This window comes from Homo sapiens, chromosome 2 (assembly GCF_000001405.40).
Source record: "Homo sapiens chromosome 2, GRCh38.p14 Primary Assembly".
Taxonomy (NCBI): Eukaryota; Metazoa; Chordata; class Mammalia; order Primates; family Hominidae; genus Homo; species Homo sapiens.
The window spans coordinates 71279891-71300427 of NC_000002.12; positions in this window are offsets into that span (position 1 = coordinate 71279891).

The window sequence follows — 20537 nt, forward strand, 5'->3', positions numbered from 1 at the left end:
AGAAAAGAGGATGGCCGTGCGGTGGTGGCTAATGCCTGTAATCTCAACACTTTGGGAGGTCTAGGTGGGCGGGTCACCTGAGGTAAGGCGTTCAAGACCAACCTGGCCAACACGGTGAAACCCCGTCTCTACTAAAAATACAAAAATTGGCTGGGCGTGGTAGTGCATGCCTGTAGTCCCAGCTACTCAGCTACTCGGGAGGCTGAGGCAGGAGAATCGTCTGAACCTGAGAGGTGGAGTTTGCAGTGAGCTGAGATCGCGCCAGTGTACTCCAGCCTGGGTGACAGAGTGAGTCTCTGTCTCAAAAAAAAGAGAAAACAGAAAAGATGGACCTTGAAGAGACAAAGAGTTTTCTTTGTGGTTGGGGTATTGGGTACAACACTCTTGCTGTGTGAAAAAGGAATCACTTAGAGTGCTTAAGCATGAGATAAGGGGTTGTAAAACCTTCTAGGCTAAATAATTAAATTATTTTAAAATTTTTACTTTAAAATCAAAGTAATACATGTACATGATTGAACAAATAAAGCAGTTCTTGAAGATTTACCACAAAAATACCAGACACTTGTTAATTTCTTTTTACTCTGTTTCTCTCCTTGAAGGCAAACACTTTGAAGTCCTTTAACTTTTTCTTCTAGTATTTACCTTTGTCTTTCTGAAAAAGTATACTTTATAACCACTTCTTGACTTAAATAGTTTAGGTATTACTTTTTTATAAATTAAGAATTGATAAAGTGAGGATTTAACTCTTTATTCTCTCTTTCTTCTGTATCCTTCTTCCATCCTCCCAATTTAGATTCTGTCATAATTTTTTGTTAAATTAGTAGTTAGGTTTTATATTATTATGACCAGGTAAACATGACTAGCCTTTGAGCCAAATGATAAACTAATTTACCTAATTTTCTTTCATCCCGTGGTTAATTTTTTCCAAATGCTGCAGTGCCATCAAATGGGCCAACAAATGTAAGGATTTACCAATGCCATTTTTTCCTTAAACTTCCTTCCTATAGCTTCCATTCTTCATACTCTAATCTGGTCTGGTTCTAAGTTTGTAACAAACCTAAAGATTAATGTATTTAAAGAGATAACAAAAGAGATTGCACCTACAAAATAAGAACAGGTCGCTATGAAAAGAAACCATAAGACAACAAGAAAGAGCTCTATGAAATTAAAAATATGATAGTCAAAATGAACTCTGAATAGAAGACCTAGAAGATAGAGTTGTCTAGGTTTGCATAGCTATAGTCCTGGGACTTTCCTTCACCTTTCTCCTGATTTGGACCTTCTGTTATCTAGATCATGAATCTGGTTTTCTTCATTTTGCTGAAACAATTAGTCCAGTTACTTTCTAAGAAAAGATAAATGTTCTAAGTCCTTGCATGTCTTAAAAATGTCTTTATTCTACCCTTGCATTTGAATTACAGTTTGGCTGATTTTAAAGTCTAAGTTTTTCCTCAGCATTTTAAAGGTTTAATTCTAGTGTGTCTGCTGTTAGTGTTGCTGTTAAGAAATCTGATATAATTAAGTTTCCTGTTTCTTTTTATATGGGTTGTTTTCCCTTTCTGAAAGCTTTTTAGTATAGTCTCTCTGGTTTTCTGAAAGTTTGTGATTTTGTGTCATATTCACTGGTGTGATTCTTTTTTCATTTCTTGTGCTCTGCACTTGGTGGGCCGTTTTAACCTGAGGACCTCCCCCCGCTTTTTCCCCTAGTTTGATGAAATTTACTTTAATAATTTATTCCTTTCCATTTATTCTGTTCTCTTTTTCTTTAGTTGGATTTTAGACCACCTGGATTGATCCTTTAATTTTCTTATCATCTCTTCTATTTTTCATTTTTTTGTTTTTTTTTCACTTTCTCTGGATGATTTTTTTCAGCTATCTTCCTAACCCTTCTATTCAGTATTTCATTATGATCATCATATTTTTAATTTTGTAGAGCTGTTTGTTCTCTAATTGCTTCTTTTCAAAGCATCCTGCTTTTATGAGTGTCATATATTTTCATATCTTTTTAAAGATATTAATTCCAAGTTTTGTTTTTGGAGTTTTCTTTTGTTTCCTTGATTGTTTCTGCCTTTTGAAGTCTTTCTTCCTCTTTATTTGGCTTTTCAGTTTATTCAGGGAGACGCTTCCAGCCCTGTGCAGCATAGGCTGTAATCCTGGGAGTAGGGACAGGAAAGGGGAATGTGTTGAGAGTCCCCAAGGCCACCCTCAGGTTCAGCGATTTACTAGGAGGACATACAAGACTCAGCATATAGTCATACTCACAGCTATGGCTCATTGCAGTGAAAGGTTACAAAACAAAATTGGCAAAGGGAAAAGGTGCATGGAGTGAAGTCTGGGAGAAACCAGGCACAAGCTCCCTGGTCCTCTCTCAGTGGAGTTCCACAGGATGTGCTGAATGGTTGTGACCACACACGTGAAATGTTGTCTACCAGGGAAGCTCCTTAGACTCAGTGCGCAAGGTTATAACTGGGTGCAGGTTACATAGGCACCCTCTGCCTAGCGTTTACCATAATTCCACACTCCTAGAAGGAAATCAGGTGCTCAGCATAAACCACTATTCTTACATTTTTACACTGTTTAGGTACAGTGAGCCACTCACTGTTAGGGAATGGTGGGAACCTTCCTGAAATCAAAGTTACCAGACAGCAGCCATGGGCTAAGCTTGCAAGTAAGACTTTCAAAGCATAGTAGTCTCAGGCATGTTCTGTGAACTCTTCTGCACAGGAGCATAGGGCCCCACAGTTAATACATAGGCTTTCACTTATCCTTCTTCTGCTTCATGCCTTATTCATGCCCTCTACTGGTAACCTGGAGGTCAAAGACTCTCTCCTGCTATGGAACTGAGATGGTCACTTGGCTGCCACAGGATGGGAGTGAGGCACTGGGAAAGGGTGTATCCAAACATTTTGTATGGGTAAACATGACTAGATGAGCTGTTTTCAAGCTGTGGACTGGGGCTCCTGAGACCCATTTCATAATGATACTAATGTGATATTTGGCTTTTTCTCAGGGTATACAGTGGAGTTTTCCAGAGGTGTGGGACATTGCAATAGACCAAAGGCAGACATGTAAAACAGTGCCACTCTTATCACTGTTTTTTTAAAAAACTAGTTATTTTTCATAAAAATGAGTTTTTTTATCTTTAAATGGACTAGTAATTTTAAATTTCTGTTTTTCTTAAGATGATAAATATTGATAGTTATACCTATATAAACAAAAGCTCTTTGAAGTCTCAGTACTTTTTAAATATGTAGGTCTTTGGACCAACAAAGAGCTTGAGAAGCCTACATCTCCCATTTTTTCTGAGTCTCGCAGTTTTCCCTTTCATAGTTATCTACCTATTCCTTGTTGTGTGTATGTCGTAAAAAGTTTTATTTAACTTAGATATTTTATTTTATTTAACTCATTAATTAAATGAAGGAACCAGTAAGATGTTACAACCAGTTCAAACGGAGAATCTAGGGAACAGTTAGATTTATAGATGAGGAATATTGAAATGACTCACAAATGAAGGTAGCAGTGGCTTCTTACATAGTGGAGAAGGGATGTCGGTTGAACCTCCGCCAGGCAGAATTTACATGCCTAGAGACAAGTGTTATTTTGCTTTGCTATCAGTTTTTTTCAGTAGAAACTAGAAAGGTAAAATCGTTCAACAGCAGTGAAAGGCTAGAATCAGATAAGTTGGAAGAGTGTGATATAAATAAAGCTTAAAAGTTTTCCATTGAAGCACACATTTTCCCCTGCAATGCTCATCTAGAAAAGTGTAGATTTTAATTTGCTTTCCCATGTAAATTTATCTATGCAAAAATTCTGGTTGACAGGGAAATTATATGTATCATTGAAATGAACAAATTTGTATTCTGGGTATGTTTCATTTGCTAGGTTGCTTGCTTGTTTTAAGCAAATTGTTTAGGTTCACATGGCAAATCAGTGATGACTGAAATAGATGATTTTTTTTATATTTTATTTTTTAAAATGTTTGTGGGTACATGGTAGCTGTGTATATTTATGGGGTACATGAGATATTTTGATACAGGCATACAAGAAGTGAAATGAGTACATCATGGAGAATAGCAGTGTCCATTCCCTCAAGCATTTATCCTTTGAGTTACAAACCAATTACATTCAAGTTATTTAAAAATATACAATTAAGTTATTATTGACTATAGTCACCCTATTGTGCTATCAAATCGTAGGTCTTATTCATTATTTTTTATTTTTGCTTTGTACCCATTAAACATTCCCACCTCCCCCCAAAATAGATAAGAATTTAGAAAGCTTCTTACTTTGGTCCCAGACTGGGTTCCCTTCCAATAAACATTGACAGCGACTGGCAATATTTTTGCAATTGACACTGCCCCAAGCTTGGAGAGCATCAAAGTCAGTAAGCCTCAGCCCTATGTTCTCATTGGAGATGTGGCCATGTACATAGTGAAGGATTATACAGCATGATAGGTATAGTACCAGAGGTGGAAATGGTGTGACATAGAATCAGAAAAGAAGAAGCAATGAATTCTGGCTGGGAAGTTAAACATTTCATCAGGGGCTTGGAGGACAACCAGAATTTAACCAGAATGGTTTTCCATTTATACAGATACGGGAACTTCTCATTATTCTTTCAAATAAAAAGCCAGTCTCTTAGATTATGCCTAGATTTAGCCTCCTGGTATTCACACCGTTGTGTAGTCTTCTCCCATGTTGTATGGGGGTTGGTCTGTACACCGATATATACAATGGTAGAAATGGCAGTGTGTGCATTCCAAGGATTGGTCATAAGAGACACTGCTGTTTCCATCATGGTCTCTTGGCTTACTTGCTCTGTCGTGTCATGGGAACACTTAAGCAAACCTCCAAAAAGGCTTTTATGGGGGAGAAGCTGAATTTAATCTGGGCAAATGGACACCCAGCTCGAGAATCTATTTCTGGCTTCCCTGCAGCTGGTTTATTTGTGTGACTTAAGTTCTTGGGAGCAGAAGTAATGTGTGCACCTTCTGGTACTTGCCTTTAAAACAGTTTCTTAATCGTTTTTTCATTATCACTCCCATAAGGAGCCTTTTTCGACTTTTATTCCGTAATTGCTCCCTTGAAATTTTAATGCCACAGATATACTATATACCCGCATATGCCCTGTATGTATGTATCTGTGCTTTATCCATAAAAAGACTAAAATGTTTTTACCTCTGTACCCCCCAGGAACCACCTTTTTTCCCATTGGGGATGATGCTGACCTTGTTGAGAATGCATGCTTTAGACAGACTAGGAATGCTCTCCCTTCATGGGGGCTGGAAGGCACACATGGTGTAGTGTGCCGGCTTCAACCATGTAGACAGGGGGAATCAAACAACAAGACAGAAAGAACTGGGAGGCATAGACAGCATCACAGAACAAAGCTGCTAGCCTATGTCTAGAAAGTTAATTGAGAAAGAAGGGAACTTTGATCTTATTTAAGCCATCTTATTTTGGAACCTTCACTGTAGCAGCTTGGCCTTTATCCTAACAAATGTGCATCCCATTTTCTTTTTTTTAAACAGGAAATTTAATCAAAATAAATTTAATGAGATAAAAATCTATACACTAAATAAAATACTGATGACAGAAATTGAAGTAGACACAAATAAATGGAAACATATTCCATTAGGATAACTAATATTGGCAAAGTACCATATTATCCAAAGTTATCTATAGATACAATGTTATCTGTATCAATATTTCAGTGGTGTTTTTCACAGTAATAGAAAACAATGGTAGAATTTGAGTGTAACCTTAAGCAACTTCAGTAACCTAAGCAATCTTGAGAAAGAACAAAGCTGTTGGCACTATACTTCCCGACTTCAAACTTCATTTAAAGGTTATAGTAATTAAGAAAGCATGGTAAGTGTATAAAAATAGACACAAAAACCAATGGAACAGAACAGGGAGCCCAGAAGTAAACCTATATGCATTGCATTTCTTCAAAACTGCTTCGCTTTAAAAAAGTTTCTCTTCTGTTAGTTTCATGTCACCAAATTCTGTTTACTCAGCAGTATAGAAATGTTATTTACCCTTTTGCCATCTGCAAATGCCTTATCATTACCAGTACTGTGAATTGTATAAATATTAACATCATTGGATCCAAAATTTGGGTATCTCTAAGTGATATTTTATAATCACTTAACCAAAGTGTTACTATGCTTTATCTCACTGCATATGTTGCTAGTTTGCAGTAGAGTAGTAGTCTTATTGGTTTCTTTAGCCGTTGAAGCAGTAGAGTGTCTTTTTTTTTTTTTTTTAAGAGACAGCGTATCACTCTGTTTCCCAGGCTGGAATGCCTTGGTGCAATCATGGCTCACTGCAGCCTCTAACTCCTGGGCTCAAAGCAATCCTCCTACCTCAGCCTCCCAAGTGGCTGGGACTATAGGTTCAGCTAATTTTACTTTATTTTATTATTTATTATTTTTATTTATCTTTGAGATGGAGTCTTGCTCTTTTACCCAGGCTGGAATGCAATGGCGCAATCTCGGCTCACTGCAACCTCTGCCTCCTGTGTTCAAGTGATTCTTCTGCCTCAGCCTCCCAAGTAGCTGGGACTACAGATGCTCACCATCACGCCCAGCTAATTTTTGTATTTTTAGTAGAGACGGGGTTTCACTATGTTGGCCAGGCTGGTCTCGAACTCCTGACCTCAAGTGATCTGCCTGACTCAGCCTACCAAAGTGCTGAGATTACAGGCATGAGCCACCGGGCCCAGCCCTTATTTTATTTTATTTTTTTGGTAGAGACGGGGTCTTGCTTTGTTGCACAGGCTAGTCTCAAACTCCTGGGCTCAAGTGATCCTCCCACCTCGGCCTCCCAGAGTGCTGGGATTACAGGTGATTTATTTTAAATGATATAGTTGCTTAAGCATTTTTGTTCTGTAAGTTTTTTACTTTTCGTAGGGAAGGATGGCATTGCTAATTTCTTCTCAGATAGACAGAATATGTGCCATGTATTTAAGAGTTATGACACAAACCAGCTACAGAAACAGAATTTCTCATCCCAGAATTTTCTTGTTTTTTATTATTATTATTATTATCATTTTTTTCCTTTACAAATTGTAGTTTAGAAAAGTTTAACTCCTGGTTATCTCTGTTTTATTAGAACCAGGACAGTTTGGATGACAAAAAGTTAGAGGGTAGAGGCTATTAAGAAAACAAAAACAAAACCAGAAAAACGCGGACTTTTTAGAAGTAACTGGGTGTTCTGGGCAGTTAACCAAGGTTGGTAGAGGCTGTTAAGACCCAGCTAGGCCACGGACCGTGGCTCACACCTGTAATCCCAGCCCTCTGGGAAGCTGAGGCAGCCTACTGCGGATTGCTTGCACTCAGGAGTTCGAGACCAGCCTGGGTAACATGGCGAAACTCCCATCTCTACAAAAACTGCAAAACCTAACTGGGTGTGGTGGCCCACACCTGTAATCTTAGCTACCTGGGAGGCTGAGGTGGAAGGATCTCTTGAACCTGGGAGATCGAGGCTGCAGTAAGCCATGATTGCACCACTGTACTCCAGCCTGGGTGACAGAGCAAGATCCAGTCCCCTCACCCCCACAAAAAGACCCAGCCAAAGATGGGAGGTCTTTCTTGTGAAAAGATTTTGCTGTTTGCTTCACTAGTTTTCCTAAGAATATAGATGGATGTTAATAGGACTTAAATCTCATGATGGGTGTTGGGGGGACTGGGAGGGAAGATCTTCCAGACTGATGGGCCATGGATCATTTGTTTGGCCCTCATGGTGTTTCATACGTGTTTTGAATCAGCTGCCAACACTTTAAAATAAAGCAGGCACAGACACACACACACACATACATACCACCTCCATTTCCAGTGTGTAAAGGCTTGGAAGCTCTAGGAATGCTGAGACAACATTAGCACATGGCTGCAGTAGGCTGGAGCTAGGGAGCACCTGTCCCTTCTAGACAGGCATGTGCTCCCCACCATTTCCTCATGCCACCTGAGTGTGTAGACCAAGTGCTAGTAGACATTTATCCTTTGTACTTGTGCTACTGTTTTTCCACTGTAGCTTTCAGAAAAAAATATTTTTGGGTCCTTTTTTTCTCCCAAAAGTAGGAAAATAAAAAGGTCTTTTCATTCTTAAGAGGTAAGGGGGCATTTTATGTGTGTATGTGCAAGTAAAGAATATTCCTGTGTTTTAATATGTAAACGAAGATGCCATTTTAAAACCAACAAATTAAGATGCCGCCTAAAAATCAGCTATAAGCCAGGCACAGTGGCTCACTCCTGTAATCCCAGCACTTTGGGAGTCCAGGTCATGTGGATCGCTTAAGTCCAGGAGTTTGAGATAAGCCTGGGCAACATACAGAGACCCTGCCTCTACAAAAAAGTACAAAAAAATTATCTGGGCATGGTGGTGTGTGCCTGTAATCCCAGCTACTGGGGAAGTTGAGGTGGGAGGATGGCTTGAGCCCAGGAGGTCAAGGCTACAGTGGGCTGTGATGGCACCACTGCACTCTAATCTAGGTGACAGAGGGAGACCCTCTCTCAAAAAAAAAAAAAAAATCAGCGATACATAATAAATGACATAACTAGTATATAGAAAAGATAAAATGGTTTGTTTTGTAATGGGAATTGAATAAGGGATATCATTATGATATATAGCTTTTGGTTAAAAAAAAATGTCCTGGGTGTCAATACCTTATATAGATGATAAGTTCCTAGAACAGTGCCTTTTTTTAAAGAGAAGAAATTATGTTTCTCAAACAGAAAGAAACATATATAAATAATGTAAATATCATTGGAACACTGTTTCATAGCATATTGAATATATGGCTGAGAATTTAAAAGGCAAGTTACATTACAAATTTAAATTATTTATGGAGGCTGGGTGCAGTGGTTCATGCATGTAATCTGAGCATTTTGTGGGGCCGTTGTAGGAGGATTCTGAGCCAAAGAGTTTGAGATCAGCCTGGGCAACAAAGTGAAACCCCATCTCTATAAAAAATAAAAAAAATCATTTATGATATTTTCAATTTAAGCTAAGGAAAACATATAGATAATACCACACAGCAATATGTGTGGTGTCTGAAAATTTTAATCAGTTGAAAAACTTTTGTATTTATTGCTCATGGAAGGGTCCATATCAAAGGACTCATTTATATAAAAAAAGTCAAAATTTAACAAAAATGGGTAAAAATTTATCGGCTTGATTACGTATAGAAAATGCTCCTGAAATAGTAAGTAGTAGGGGTTACCATTGGATATCTTAGTGACAAAGTACTGAAAGGAAATAGACATGAATGAATGAATTAATTTTTTTGTTTCAAGACGAAGTCTTGCTCTGTCGCCTAGGCTGGAGTGCAGTGATCTCGACTCATGCAACCTCCGCCTCCCGGGTTCATGTGAGTCTCATGCCTCAGCCTCCCGAGTAGCTGGGATTACAGGTGCCCGCCACCATACCCGGCTAACTTTTATATTTTTAGTAGAGACGGGGTTTCACCATGTTGGTCAGGCTGGTCTTGAATTCCTGACCTCAGGTAATCCTCCCACCTTGGCCTCCCAAAGTGCTGGGATTACAGGTGTGAGCCACCATGCCTGGCCGGAAATAGATGTGAATTTATTCTGTTTAATATACATTGTAGTAGGAATAATTTTAAGCTGAAAGATTAAAAATGCAACCAATATAGTTATTAGTAATTATCACAATGAAGTGGATACTGATACTTGAAATTCAGGTGGTTCAGGACTTTGCAGGTTTAATGATATGTACAACATGCTAGTCTCCTATGTGTAGGTTAGAGCTGAAAATGCTTTTTGAACTGTTAAATCAACCTGTACGTATCATACAAGGGAAAAGTGTTGCCTCAGTTTACCTGTGAAGAATGGCTCCAAGATTTGGCATTTTTGGTTGAAGTTACTGCCCATTTAAATTCTGCAAATATTTATTTATAGGGGCATTCATAAAGAATGCCCCGTTTGTATGATTCAGTTCTCTCATTTCTAGTAGATACATGTTTTTTGGCAAAATGGCTTTTTATGTTAAGGAATAATCTGCGTCACTTTCATGTGCTGAAGTTGGTTTCCAGAAATGAAAATTAGCATCTTACTTCATTCTCAAAATGAATGGAATTTAAGACTGAATTCCAAGGCAACGTCTTTGACTTTATACTTTATAAAAATGAACTAGCATTTCTCAGTTAATAACAATGTGAATGGATAGCTGCAAGTGTATGGAAAACTAAATATTGTAACACTGGAGCAGCAGAATTCTACAAACACCTTTGGAGTAATTACCCTAAATTCAATAATCACTTTGCAAAAAATTTCATCTTTGCTTGAAAAAGTGCCTGTGTTTAAGAGTTGTTTTTTCTTCTCTTAGTTCAAGGATTCAGGGCTGAATTCTGTATTACATATTGCATGCAATTCTAGATATCGGAGCTGACATTGACACCTTGGTATAGGGGAAAAGGTGTCAAGTTTTGGGTTTTAGGTCAGTGGTGTTATGACCTACAAGAAAAATTTAGTAATTAATTGTTTCTGGGGTTTTTGTTTTGTTTTTGAGATAGGATCTCCCTCTGTTGCCCAGGCTGGAATATAGTGGGGTGATGCTGGCTCACTGCAACCTCTGCCTCCCTGTTGAAGCCACCCTCCTACCTCAGCCTCCCGAGTATCTGGGACTACAGGCGTGCACCACCATGCCCAGCTAATTTTTTGTGTTTTTTGTAGAAATGGGGTTTTGCCATGTTGTCCAGGCTGGTCTTGAACTTTTGGGCTCAAGTGATCTGCCCACCTTGACCTTCCAAAGTGCTGGGATTACAGGTGTGAACCACTGTGCCCAGCCTGTGCCTGTTATTTTTTTGGTGTTGTTTGTTTTGTTTTTGTTCTTTGAGATGGGGTTTTGCCATGTTGCCCAGGCTGGTCTCGAACTCCCGAGCTCAGGTGATTTGCCCCCCCTCAGCCTCCCAAAGTAGTGGGACTACAGGTGTGAACCACCATGTCCGGCCTGTGTTCCTGTTGTTTTAATTTGTATTTTTTTCAATTTCAAATTTATAATCTCTGATATCATAACTGCTTGTGTTGTATTACATTACTAAAAATAATGCTTAATTCTATTTCTGGCATTTGAGTTTTTTAAATCTTGATCGCTTCAATTATTTATGTCACTGGCGTGGCTCCTGTAGATATTTGAATTTGTGATTCTTGTCATAGGCAGAAGGTACAACCTGACTATATCCTTGGGCAAGATGCCTATGAAAATATGGTTATCATCTTGTTCTAATTAATTTTACACTGGTACCTCTTTTCCTTACTTAGGCACTAAACATATTTTTGCGGTGGTTTATTTTATGGTGGCAGTTTTAGGATACGAGCATGGAAAATTTATGCTTGCTTATTTCAACACTGTAAATACATACTACTAGACAGCCCAGTATCAGGTAATAAGATTTTTTTTCTCTTCAACCTTCACCCACCCTCTGCAGAATCTTCAGTGAGAATTTCCTGTGAAAGCTTCAGGGCAAACCATTTAAAAAAAATAATACCTATAAGCTTCGATAGGATCCAAGACTCCACCCAGACTCTGTTTTAGACATGTAATTCTGTTTAGACATGAAAAGTTTAGGTGAAGCATCACAGTTTGTGTTGTATTTTGTAATAACTCCTGCGTTTCTGTTGTTGTGTCACTGAAATTCTTTGGTTTTGAAGCAGATGTCTGCAGCCTATGAGAAGCTGCCTTGTGCTCCTTCTCCCTGGCAGTGCTACCCTCGCCCTGGCTCGGATGCAGCTATGGCTCTGCCTTCTCAATTGCTTGCTGTGTGTTGCTGTTTCATAGAACTGTAGACCTTAAAGACTCTCTAGTAAGGCTTTTGGCCACAGGAAAAGTTTTTTTCCTAAAGTTTCCAAACCAGCCCAAGGAAAGAGAAAAAGAGGACAATGGAAAATATTTTTCTGAATCTTAAATAATTTGTGGATACTGAATTATCACTGTTAATATATTCACGTTTCTCCTTGCTCCCATTTGATCCTCTTTGGGGTCGGATCGGTATGGGGGAGTTGTTTCTGAGGACTCTTTGCAGTGGTTCGCTGAGTGTGGACCTTGGGCCAGCAGTTCCCAGCATGACCTGGGAACTTATTGGAAGCGCAGAATCTTGGTCCCCATCCCAGACCTACATAAATCCCAGAAAGAGAAACTCTTGAGGAGTAGAGTGGGTGGTGGCACCCTGTGTTTTAACAGCACTTCAGATGATTCTCATACATGCTGAAATTTGAGAACCACTGTTGTATATAACTTGAATTATACCTATATTGGATTTTTACATGGAAACTTAGGAAAGCTCCCAAACTCCTTCAGCATCTTCCTACTTTCCTCCTATTACTTCAGGGTCTGAGATAAAGTATATACTCTGTGGTGAGCTGTGGACCTTTACCCAACCTGGCTGGGACTTTGTGATAGTTGTACTCAGTTGACTGTCCTCAGTGACAACTAATTGTTGAGGTAATGGGTGAGACAGAGATGCCTTTGGCACTTCTAGGAAATTCAGTTGGCTCTGGCCTCCTAGGAACTACTGATCTGAGGGGAACCTATGCTTTGAGACATGGCCAAAGCAGTTATTCTCGTCTTTTATTTACTTGATGTAAATAATCCACTGGAGAAAAAAAGTAGAGTATGTGCCATTCTGATTTAATTTTTTTTTTTACTGTAGTAAAATATACATAACATTTTCTATTTTAACCATTTTGAAGTGTACAGTTCATTGGCATTAAGTACATTTACATTATTGTGCAACTATCACCACTATCCATCTCCAGAACTTTTTCATTATTTCAAACTGAAACTCTGTATCCATTAAGTGATAACTATCCATTCTACACACCCTCCAGCCTCTAGTAACTACAATTCTTTCTTTATGAATTTGGCTCTTCTGGGTACCTCATACAAGTGGAATCATACAATATTTGTTCTTTTGTGTCTGGCTTATTTCACTTCGCATAGTGTCTTCATGGTTCATCCATATTTTAGCATACATCAGAATTTAATTTTTTAAGGCTGAATATTATTTCAGCGTGTATGTATATATGCCATGTGTCCATTCATTCATCAGTGGACCTTTCGGTTGTTTCCACCTTTTGGCTGCTGTAAGCAATGCTGCATTAGTGCACAAATATCTGTTCAAGTCCCTGCTTTCAGTTTTTTGGGATATATACCCAAAAGTGGAATTACTAGATCTTATGGTAATTCTGTTTACTTTTTTAGGAACTGCCATACTGTTTTCTACAGTGGCTGCACCATTTTACATACCACCAGCAATGCATAAGCGTTCTAGTTTGTCTACATCCTTACCAACACTGTTATTTTCTGTTGCTGGAATTTTTTTTTTTTTTAATAATAGCCATCCTAGTGAGTGTGAAATGATATCTGATTGTGGTTTGGATTTGTATTGTCCTAATGATTAACGATGTTGAGCATCATGTCATGTGCTTATTGGTCATCTGTATTCTTCCTTGGAGAAATTTCTATTCAAGTTCTTTGCCCATTTTAAAAATTGGGTTTTTTTTTTTCTTTTTTCTTTTTTTTTTTAGACGGAATCTCGCTCTGTCGCCAGGCTGGAGTGCAATGGCGCTATCTTGGCTCACTGCAATCACCACCTCCCGGGTTCAAGCGATTCTCCTGCCTCAGCCTCCGAGTAGCTGGGACTACAGGCATGTGCCACCACACCCAGCTAATTTTTGTATTTTTAGTAGAGATGGGGTTTCACCATGTTGGCCAGGATGGTCTCGATTTCCTGACCTCGTGATCTGCCTGCCTCGGCCTCCCAAAGTGCTGGGATTACAGGCGTGAGCCACCGTTTTTGAGTTTTTTACATATTCTGGATATTAATTTCTTATAATATATACTGCTTGCAGGTATTTTCTCCCACTCTGTGGGTTGCATTTTCACTCACCTATACTGTCTTTTGAATACTATCTTTTGATGCACAAAAATTTTTCAATTTTGACAAAGTCTCACTTATGTATTTTTTCTTTTGTTGCCTGTGCTTTTGGGGTCATATCCAAGAAGTCAGTGCCAAATCCAATATCATGAAGCTTTTGCCCTATATTTTCTTCCAAGAGTTTTATAGTTTTCACTTTTGTGTTTAGGTCTTTGACCCATTTTGAATTAGTTTTTGTATATGATATAAGGTAAGGGTCCAATTTCATTCTTTTGCATGTGGATATACACTTTTCCCAACACCGTTTGTTGAAAAGACTGTCCTTTCCCTGGTGAATGATTTTTGCACCTTTGTTGAAAATCATTTGATCATATATGTGAAGGTTTATCTCTGAGCTCTCTGTTCTATTCCACTGATCTGCATGTCTATCTTTATGCCAGTATCACACTGTTTTTGATTACTGTAGCTTTGTAGTTTTTTGTTTTTTGTTTTTTTTTTGAGACAGAGTCTCCCTCTGTCACCCAGGGTGGAGTGCAGTGGCGTGATCTTGGCTCACTGCAAGCTCCGCCTCCTGGGTTCAGGCCATTCTCCTGCCTCAGCCTCCCGAGTAGCTGGGACTACAGGTGCCCGCCACCACGCCCGGCTAATTTTTTGTATTTTTAGTAGAGACGGGGTTTCACCGTGTTAGCCAGGATGGTCTCTATCTCCTGACCTCGTGATCCGCCCGCCTCAGCCTCCCAAAGTGCTGGGATTACAGGCGTGAGCCACCGCGCCCGGCCAGTAAGTTTTGAAATGAGGATGTGTGAATCTTACAACTTTGTTCTTCTTTTTCCAAGATTATTTTGGCTATTCAGGGTCCTTTGGGATTCCATATGAATTTTAGGATGGATTTTTCTATTTATGTAAAAACATTATTGGGATTTTTGAAAGGGATTGCATTGAATCTGTAGATTGCTTTGGGTAGTATTGCCATTGTAATAATATTAACTCTTCCAATTCATGAACATGGGATATGTTTCCTTTTATTTGTGTCTTCCTTTATTTCTTTCAGCAATTTGTAATTTTCATTATACAAGTCTTTTACTTCCTTAAGTTTATTCGCACTAAGTATTTTATTCTTTTTGATGCTATTACAAATGGAATTGTTTTGAATTTCCTTCTCAGATTGTTCATTGCTATTGTATAGAAACCAACTTATTTTTGTGTTTTTCACCCTGCAACTTTACTGGATTTGTTTTTTAGTTCTCGTGGGGTTGTGTGTGTGTGTGTGTGCGTGTGTGTATAATCTTTAGGGTTTTCTACATATAAGACCATGTCATCTGTGAATAGAGATAATTTTACTTCTTTCTTTCCAATTTGGATGTCTTTTATTTCTTTTTTTTTTGCCTGATTACTCTGGCCAGAACTTCTAACGCTACGTTAAATAGAAGTGGCAAAAGTGAGGCCGGGCTTGGTGGCTCACATGTGTAATCCTAGCACTTTGGGAGGACGAGGCAGGCAGATTACATAAGCTCAGGAGTTCTAGACCAGCCTGGCCAACATGGCAAAACCCTGTCTCTACTAAAAATACAAAAATTAGCCAGGCATGATGGTGCACACCAGTAATCCCAGCTACTCTGGAGACTGAGGCATAAGAATCACTTGAACCTGGGAGGGAGAGGTTGCAGTGAGCCAAGATCGTGCTACTGGACTCCAGCGTAAGCAATAGAGTGAGACTACAACTCAAAAAAAAAAAAAAGTGTCTGAAGTGAGTATCGTTGTTTTATTCCTGATCTTAGTGGAAAAGCTTTCTGTTTTTCATAATTGAATATGATGTTAGCTGTGGGTTTTTTGTATCTGGCTTTTATTGTTTTGAGGCAGTTTCCTTCTATTCCTAGTTTGTTGAGTATTTTTATCATGAAAGGATGATGAATTTTAAATACTTTTATTGCATCAATTGAGATAATGTGGTTTTGTCCTTCTAATTCATTGTATGAAGCTAGGAATTACTTTTTTTTTTTTCTTTTTTGAGATGGAGTCTCACCCTGTTGCCCAGGCTGGAGTGCAATGACATGATCTCAGTTCCCTGCAACCTCTGCCTTCTGGGTTCAAGTGATTCTCCTGCCTCAGCTTCCCAAGTAGCTGGGACTACAGGCGTGCACCACCATGCCTGGCTAATTTTTATATTTTTAGTAGAGACGGGGGGTTTCACCATGTTGGCCAGGTTGGTCTCCAATTCCTGACCTCAGGTGATCCACCTGCCTCGGCCTCCCAAAGTGCTGGGATTACAGGCATGAGCCACTGCACCTGGCCTTTTATTCTAAAACTAGATAAAGAATACAAAAAAAAGTACAGACCAATATTCCTCATGAATGTAGATGCAAAAAATTACTAAATTATTGCCAGATTTAAGGCCAGTGTACAAAAATCAATTATTTTCCTATATTGTAGGAATAAGCAAAATAAATTTTGAAAAGGGATACTGTTTTCAAAAGCATCGTAAACATTAAATAATGTAACATAATATAGTCATAATATTAATGCAGAAAACCATACAATGTTATTGGGAGAAGGTAAAGAAGTTCTGAGTAATTAGAAGGATATACCATATTTTGTTGATTAGAAGTCTCAATATTGTAAAGATTTCACTTCTTAACAAATTGATTCACCGAGTCAATGCAGTCCCAACTCAAAATCCAGTAAGTTTTTTTTCTTTTTTTTTGAGAACTTGACAAGTTGATTCTAAAATGTATCTGGAAATGCAAAAGACCTAGAATAGCCCAGACAATCTTGAACAGTGGGAAGGCTAGCCATATTGGATATCAAGACTTAATATGGCCGGTCATGGTGGCCCACACCTGTAATCCCAGCATTTTAGTAGGCCAAGGTGGGAGGATTGCTTCCAGCCTTTTTTTTTTTTTTTACTAAAAAAAAAAAGAGAGAGACAACATGACACTGTAATTATTAAGAAAGTGTAATATTAATGGAAGAATAGAAAAATTGATCAAAAGACTAGAATAGAGAGTGCTGAAGCAGAATCACATATATCTGGACACTTCATGTATGAGCAAATTGACCCTAAAGAGAAGAAGGGAAATAATTAAATTTTTTTCAGTATGTGGCATGGAGACAATCAGATATTATTATTTTTAAAAGGAAGGAAAAAACATACAAAGTAAAAATCAAACCAAAGCTTGACCCAACGTCACACTATTAAAAAAAAAAAAAAAAAAGGCCGGGCACCGTGGCTCATGCCTGTAATCCCAGAACTTTGGGAGGCTGAGGCGGGCAGATCACCTGAAGTTGGGAGTTTGAGACCAGCCTGACCAACATGGAGAAACTCAGTCTCTACAAAAAATACAAAATTAGCTGGGCGTGGTGGTGCATACCTATAATCTGAGCTACTCAGGAGGCTGAGGCAGGATAACAGCTTGAACCCGGGAGGCGGAGGTTGCGGTGAGCCGAGATTGCGCCATTGCACTCTCCAGCCTGGGCAACGGGAGCAAAACTCCGTCTCAAAACAAAAAACAAAACAAAAAAGTTCCAGGTGGGTTGTGGTTTTAAATGTGAGCAGCAAAACAATGAAGTTCCTAGAAGATAATATATGAGAATATCTTCATAACCTTGGTATAAGAAGACTTTTAATAGGATGCAAATAATACTAACTATAAAGAGAAAGAAAAGCTAAATTGGACTACATCAAAATTCTTTCCTCACTGCCTCCCTCCCATCCTTTCTTCCTTCCATTAAGATTTTACCCCTGGCCAGGCATGGTGGCTCACACCTGTAATCCCAGAACTTTGGGAGGCCAAGGCAGGAGGATTGCTTGAGCCCAGGAGTTCAAGACTAGCCTGGACAACGTAGCGAGACTTAGCCTCTATTTTATATTTTTTTTTAAAAAAAATTTCACCCTACTGGGGAATTATTAGAGATCAACAGTAAAAATAAGTCATTGCTTATCAAGAATACTGTGGTAATGTCCTGTCACTGGGGTCCTCACATAAACTGTTGAAAACCTTTAAGCCATTTCCTACCATATAGCCACATAATCTTTTCAAAATATATATCATCACTTTACACTTTGACTTAAAATTCTTTCACTTAAAATTCTTTCACTAAGACTGGTTAAGTAAATTCTAGGATATCTCCCTAAAATGAAATATGCTACAGTCATTAAAAAGAATGAGGTAGATTTCTTTACATGAATGTAGAGCAATCTCAAAGAATTATTAAGTCAAAAAACAAGATACAGAACAATGTGTATTAAAGTGTAGGGAATAGATACAGTAGAATCTCATCATATATTCATTTCAGTTACTCAAAATTAACTAACTCATGTAGGTAAAAGAAAGGAAATTATATATTATTAAACAGGGCAGGGGACTGCATTGGCCTTTTCTCCACTTTGTCTAAGTATGTAGTCTATCTTATTAGTCTGTGAAATAGTGTGTAATTTTAAGGGTTTTACTGACCATTTATAAGGAAGAGTTATACATAATGCAGGAGGCCAGGCACTGGAACGGTAGTGGTTTTCCTAACTATCGTGCAGCACAGCTTGTCTTAAGACAGGGTCTTACACACTGAATGATTTTTGGTATGTCTGGCCCTCAGCCATTAAATGTCAGTAGCTTCTGAGGTATTGGGTCAACCAAAGAACTGCTCTGCAGATCTTCAAACATCAGTGGATGGGATGGGATTTAGGAGCATACCGCCTTAGTGTTCTTAGGCTAAGAACACTAGAGGGGAAAAAAATAGAAGAAATAATATAGGGTCACAGAGAAAACTGAGTGAAGACTGAGAGGAATTCACAGCATGGGATTTGGGATTGGTTGCACAAAACTGTATATGCTACGCCTGAATAAGTAATGTAAGGGTTTTTCATGGATTATTTTGACCATAAGCAAGACAGGAAAATGGGCAACATGGTTGCATGTAAGTTCTATCTGGAATTTAAGTTGGGCTCTCAGTTGCCAACTCCAGGGAGCTGCCAGGAAGTAGATGTGCTTGAAGGACTCCTCAGTTCCCACCTTTACCCTGAAGTGTTCTGGAACCTGCACTTACTATCCCTGTGCCAGCCTGTCCCTCCTCCCTCCCTAAGGAGGGGAAGGGAAACACCCTTAAGAGGGAAAAATCAGCTCTGAGGTGAGGAAATAGGATAGTTACTAATTTGAGAATACTCATTTGGCCAGGCGAGGTAGCTCATGCCTGTAATCCCAGCACTTTGTGGGAGGATCACTTGAGCCCAGGAGTTTGAGACCAGCCTGGGCAATGTAGTGAGACACCTGTCTCTAAATAAGAAAAAAATTAGCCAGGCATGGTGGTGCCTGCCTGTGATCCCAGCTACTTGGGAGGCTGAGGTGGAAGGATCACTTGAGCCCAGGAGGTCCAGGCCACAGTGAGCCATGATTGTGCCATTGCATCCCAGCCTGGGCAACAGAGCGAGACCCTGTCTGGAAAAAAAAAAAAACAACTGATTTGACTTAATGTACTACTGGACTAGACTAAGGAAACTCAAAATAAGTTCAGTACAAGGAAGTGTCTTGACTTAAGTTATAACTGAAAAGTCACACAGACTTCCGCTTAGCAGGGGCTTGGTAGGATAGCTGCTGTCCTTAGAAAGGTTTTGGGCATGGCCAACCTTGGTCTGGTATTTCAGTAATAGACTGGATTGTGCCTCATTTTGGTCACCACACTTAAAAAATAATGTAGATAAATACAGGAGTCCATTGAAGGTGATTAAAATTATTGAAAGCAGGTAAAATAGCCCTAAGATTGGCATTGGTGTTTTTACTGCACCCCAGCCCAGATTCTTCTGAAGTTTTCAGTAGCACTACTACAAAAGACCACAAGGTGGTGACAAAATTCTAAGGTATCTTTTTTTTTTAAGCTAGATTTGGAAGCAATCACACATTCCCTGATGGAAATGAGGAAAAGAAAGCTTAAGAATGTCTATATTTCAAGTTTTATGGAATGATCAGAATACTTTCTCTAGCAGGTTTTTTGCAATACTTGCCCATTGTTTAAACGAAAAGATTTCATTCATGTTAAAGAACAATACTGGTAAATGAGTTAGATATTTGTCTCTTAGGCTTTAGCAGACATCAGCATTGTTTCCGTAGCTTTCTGCTCTCTTTTTCTCTCTTTTCTGTCCTCTGTACCTCTGTCCCCTTTCAAAAGACTCCATCATATGAGGAAGTCAATCTAATATAGTGGTTGAGGGCGTGGATTCCGGAGGCCTGCTGCTGAAGTTCAGATACAGATTACCAGTTATTAACTGTGCGACATACAGCAAATCACTTAGCTCTGTGCCTTGGTTCCTTTTTCTCTAAAATGGAGATGACAATAGTGCCTAGTTCATTGATTATTCTCAGGATTAAATGAATCTATAAGTGTAAGAGCACTTAGAGCAATGCCTGGCACATAAAAATGTTAAAATTATATGGAATTAAAATTTAAATGATTTTCTATTGGTTTATGGAGTTAACTTTTTAAAATTTATTAAGTAGATGAGTGAGCTGCATGAGGATTTTCTCTCTCTCACACACACAACTTCCAAATAAAATTTAGTTGCTTTTGGTTTAGGAGGCACTTAATAGCTTTCCTTTTCCTCTGTCCGTCATGTTTCCCTATTTCTTACCCTTACATTAGTCACTGAAGAGAA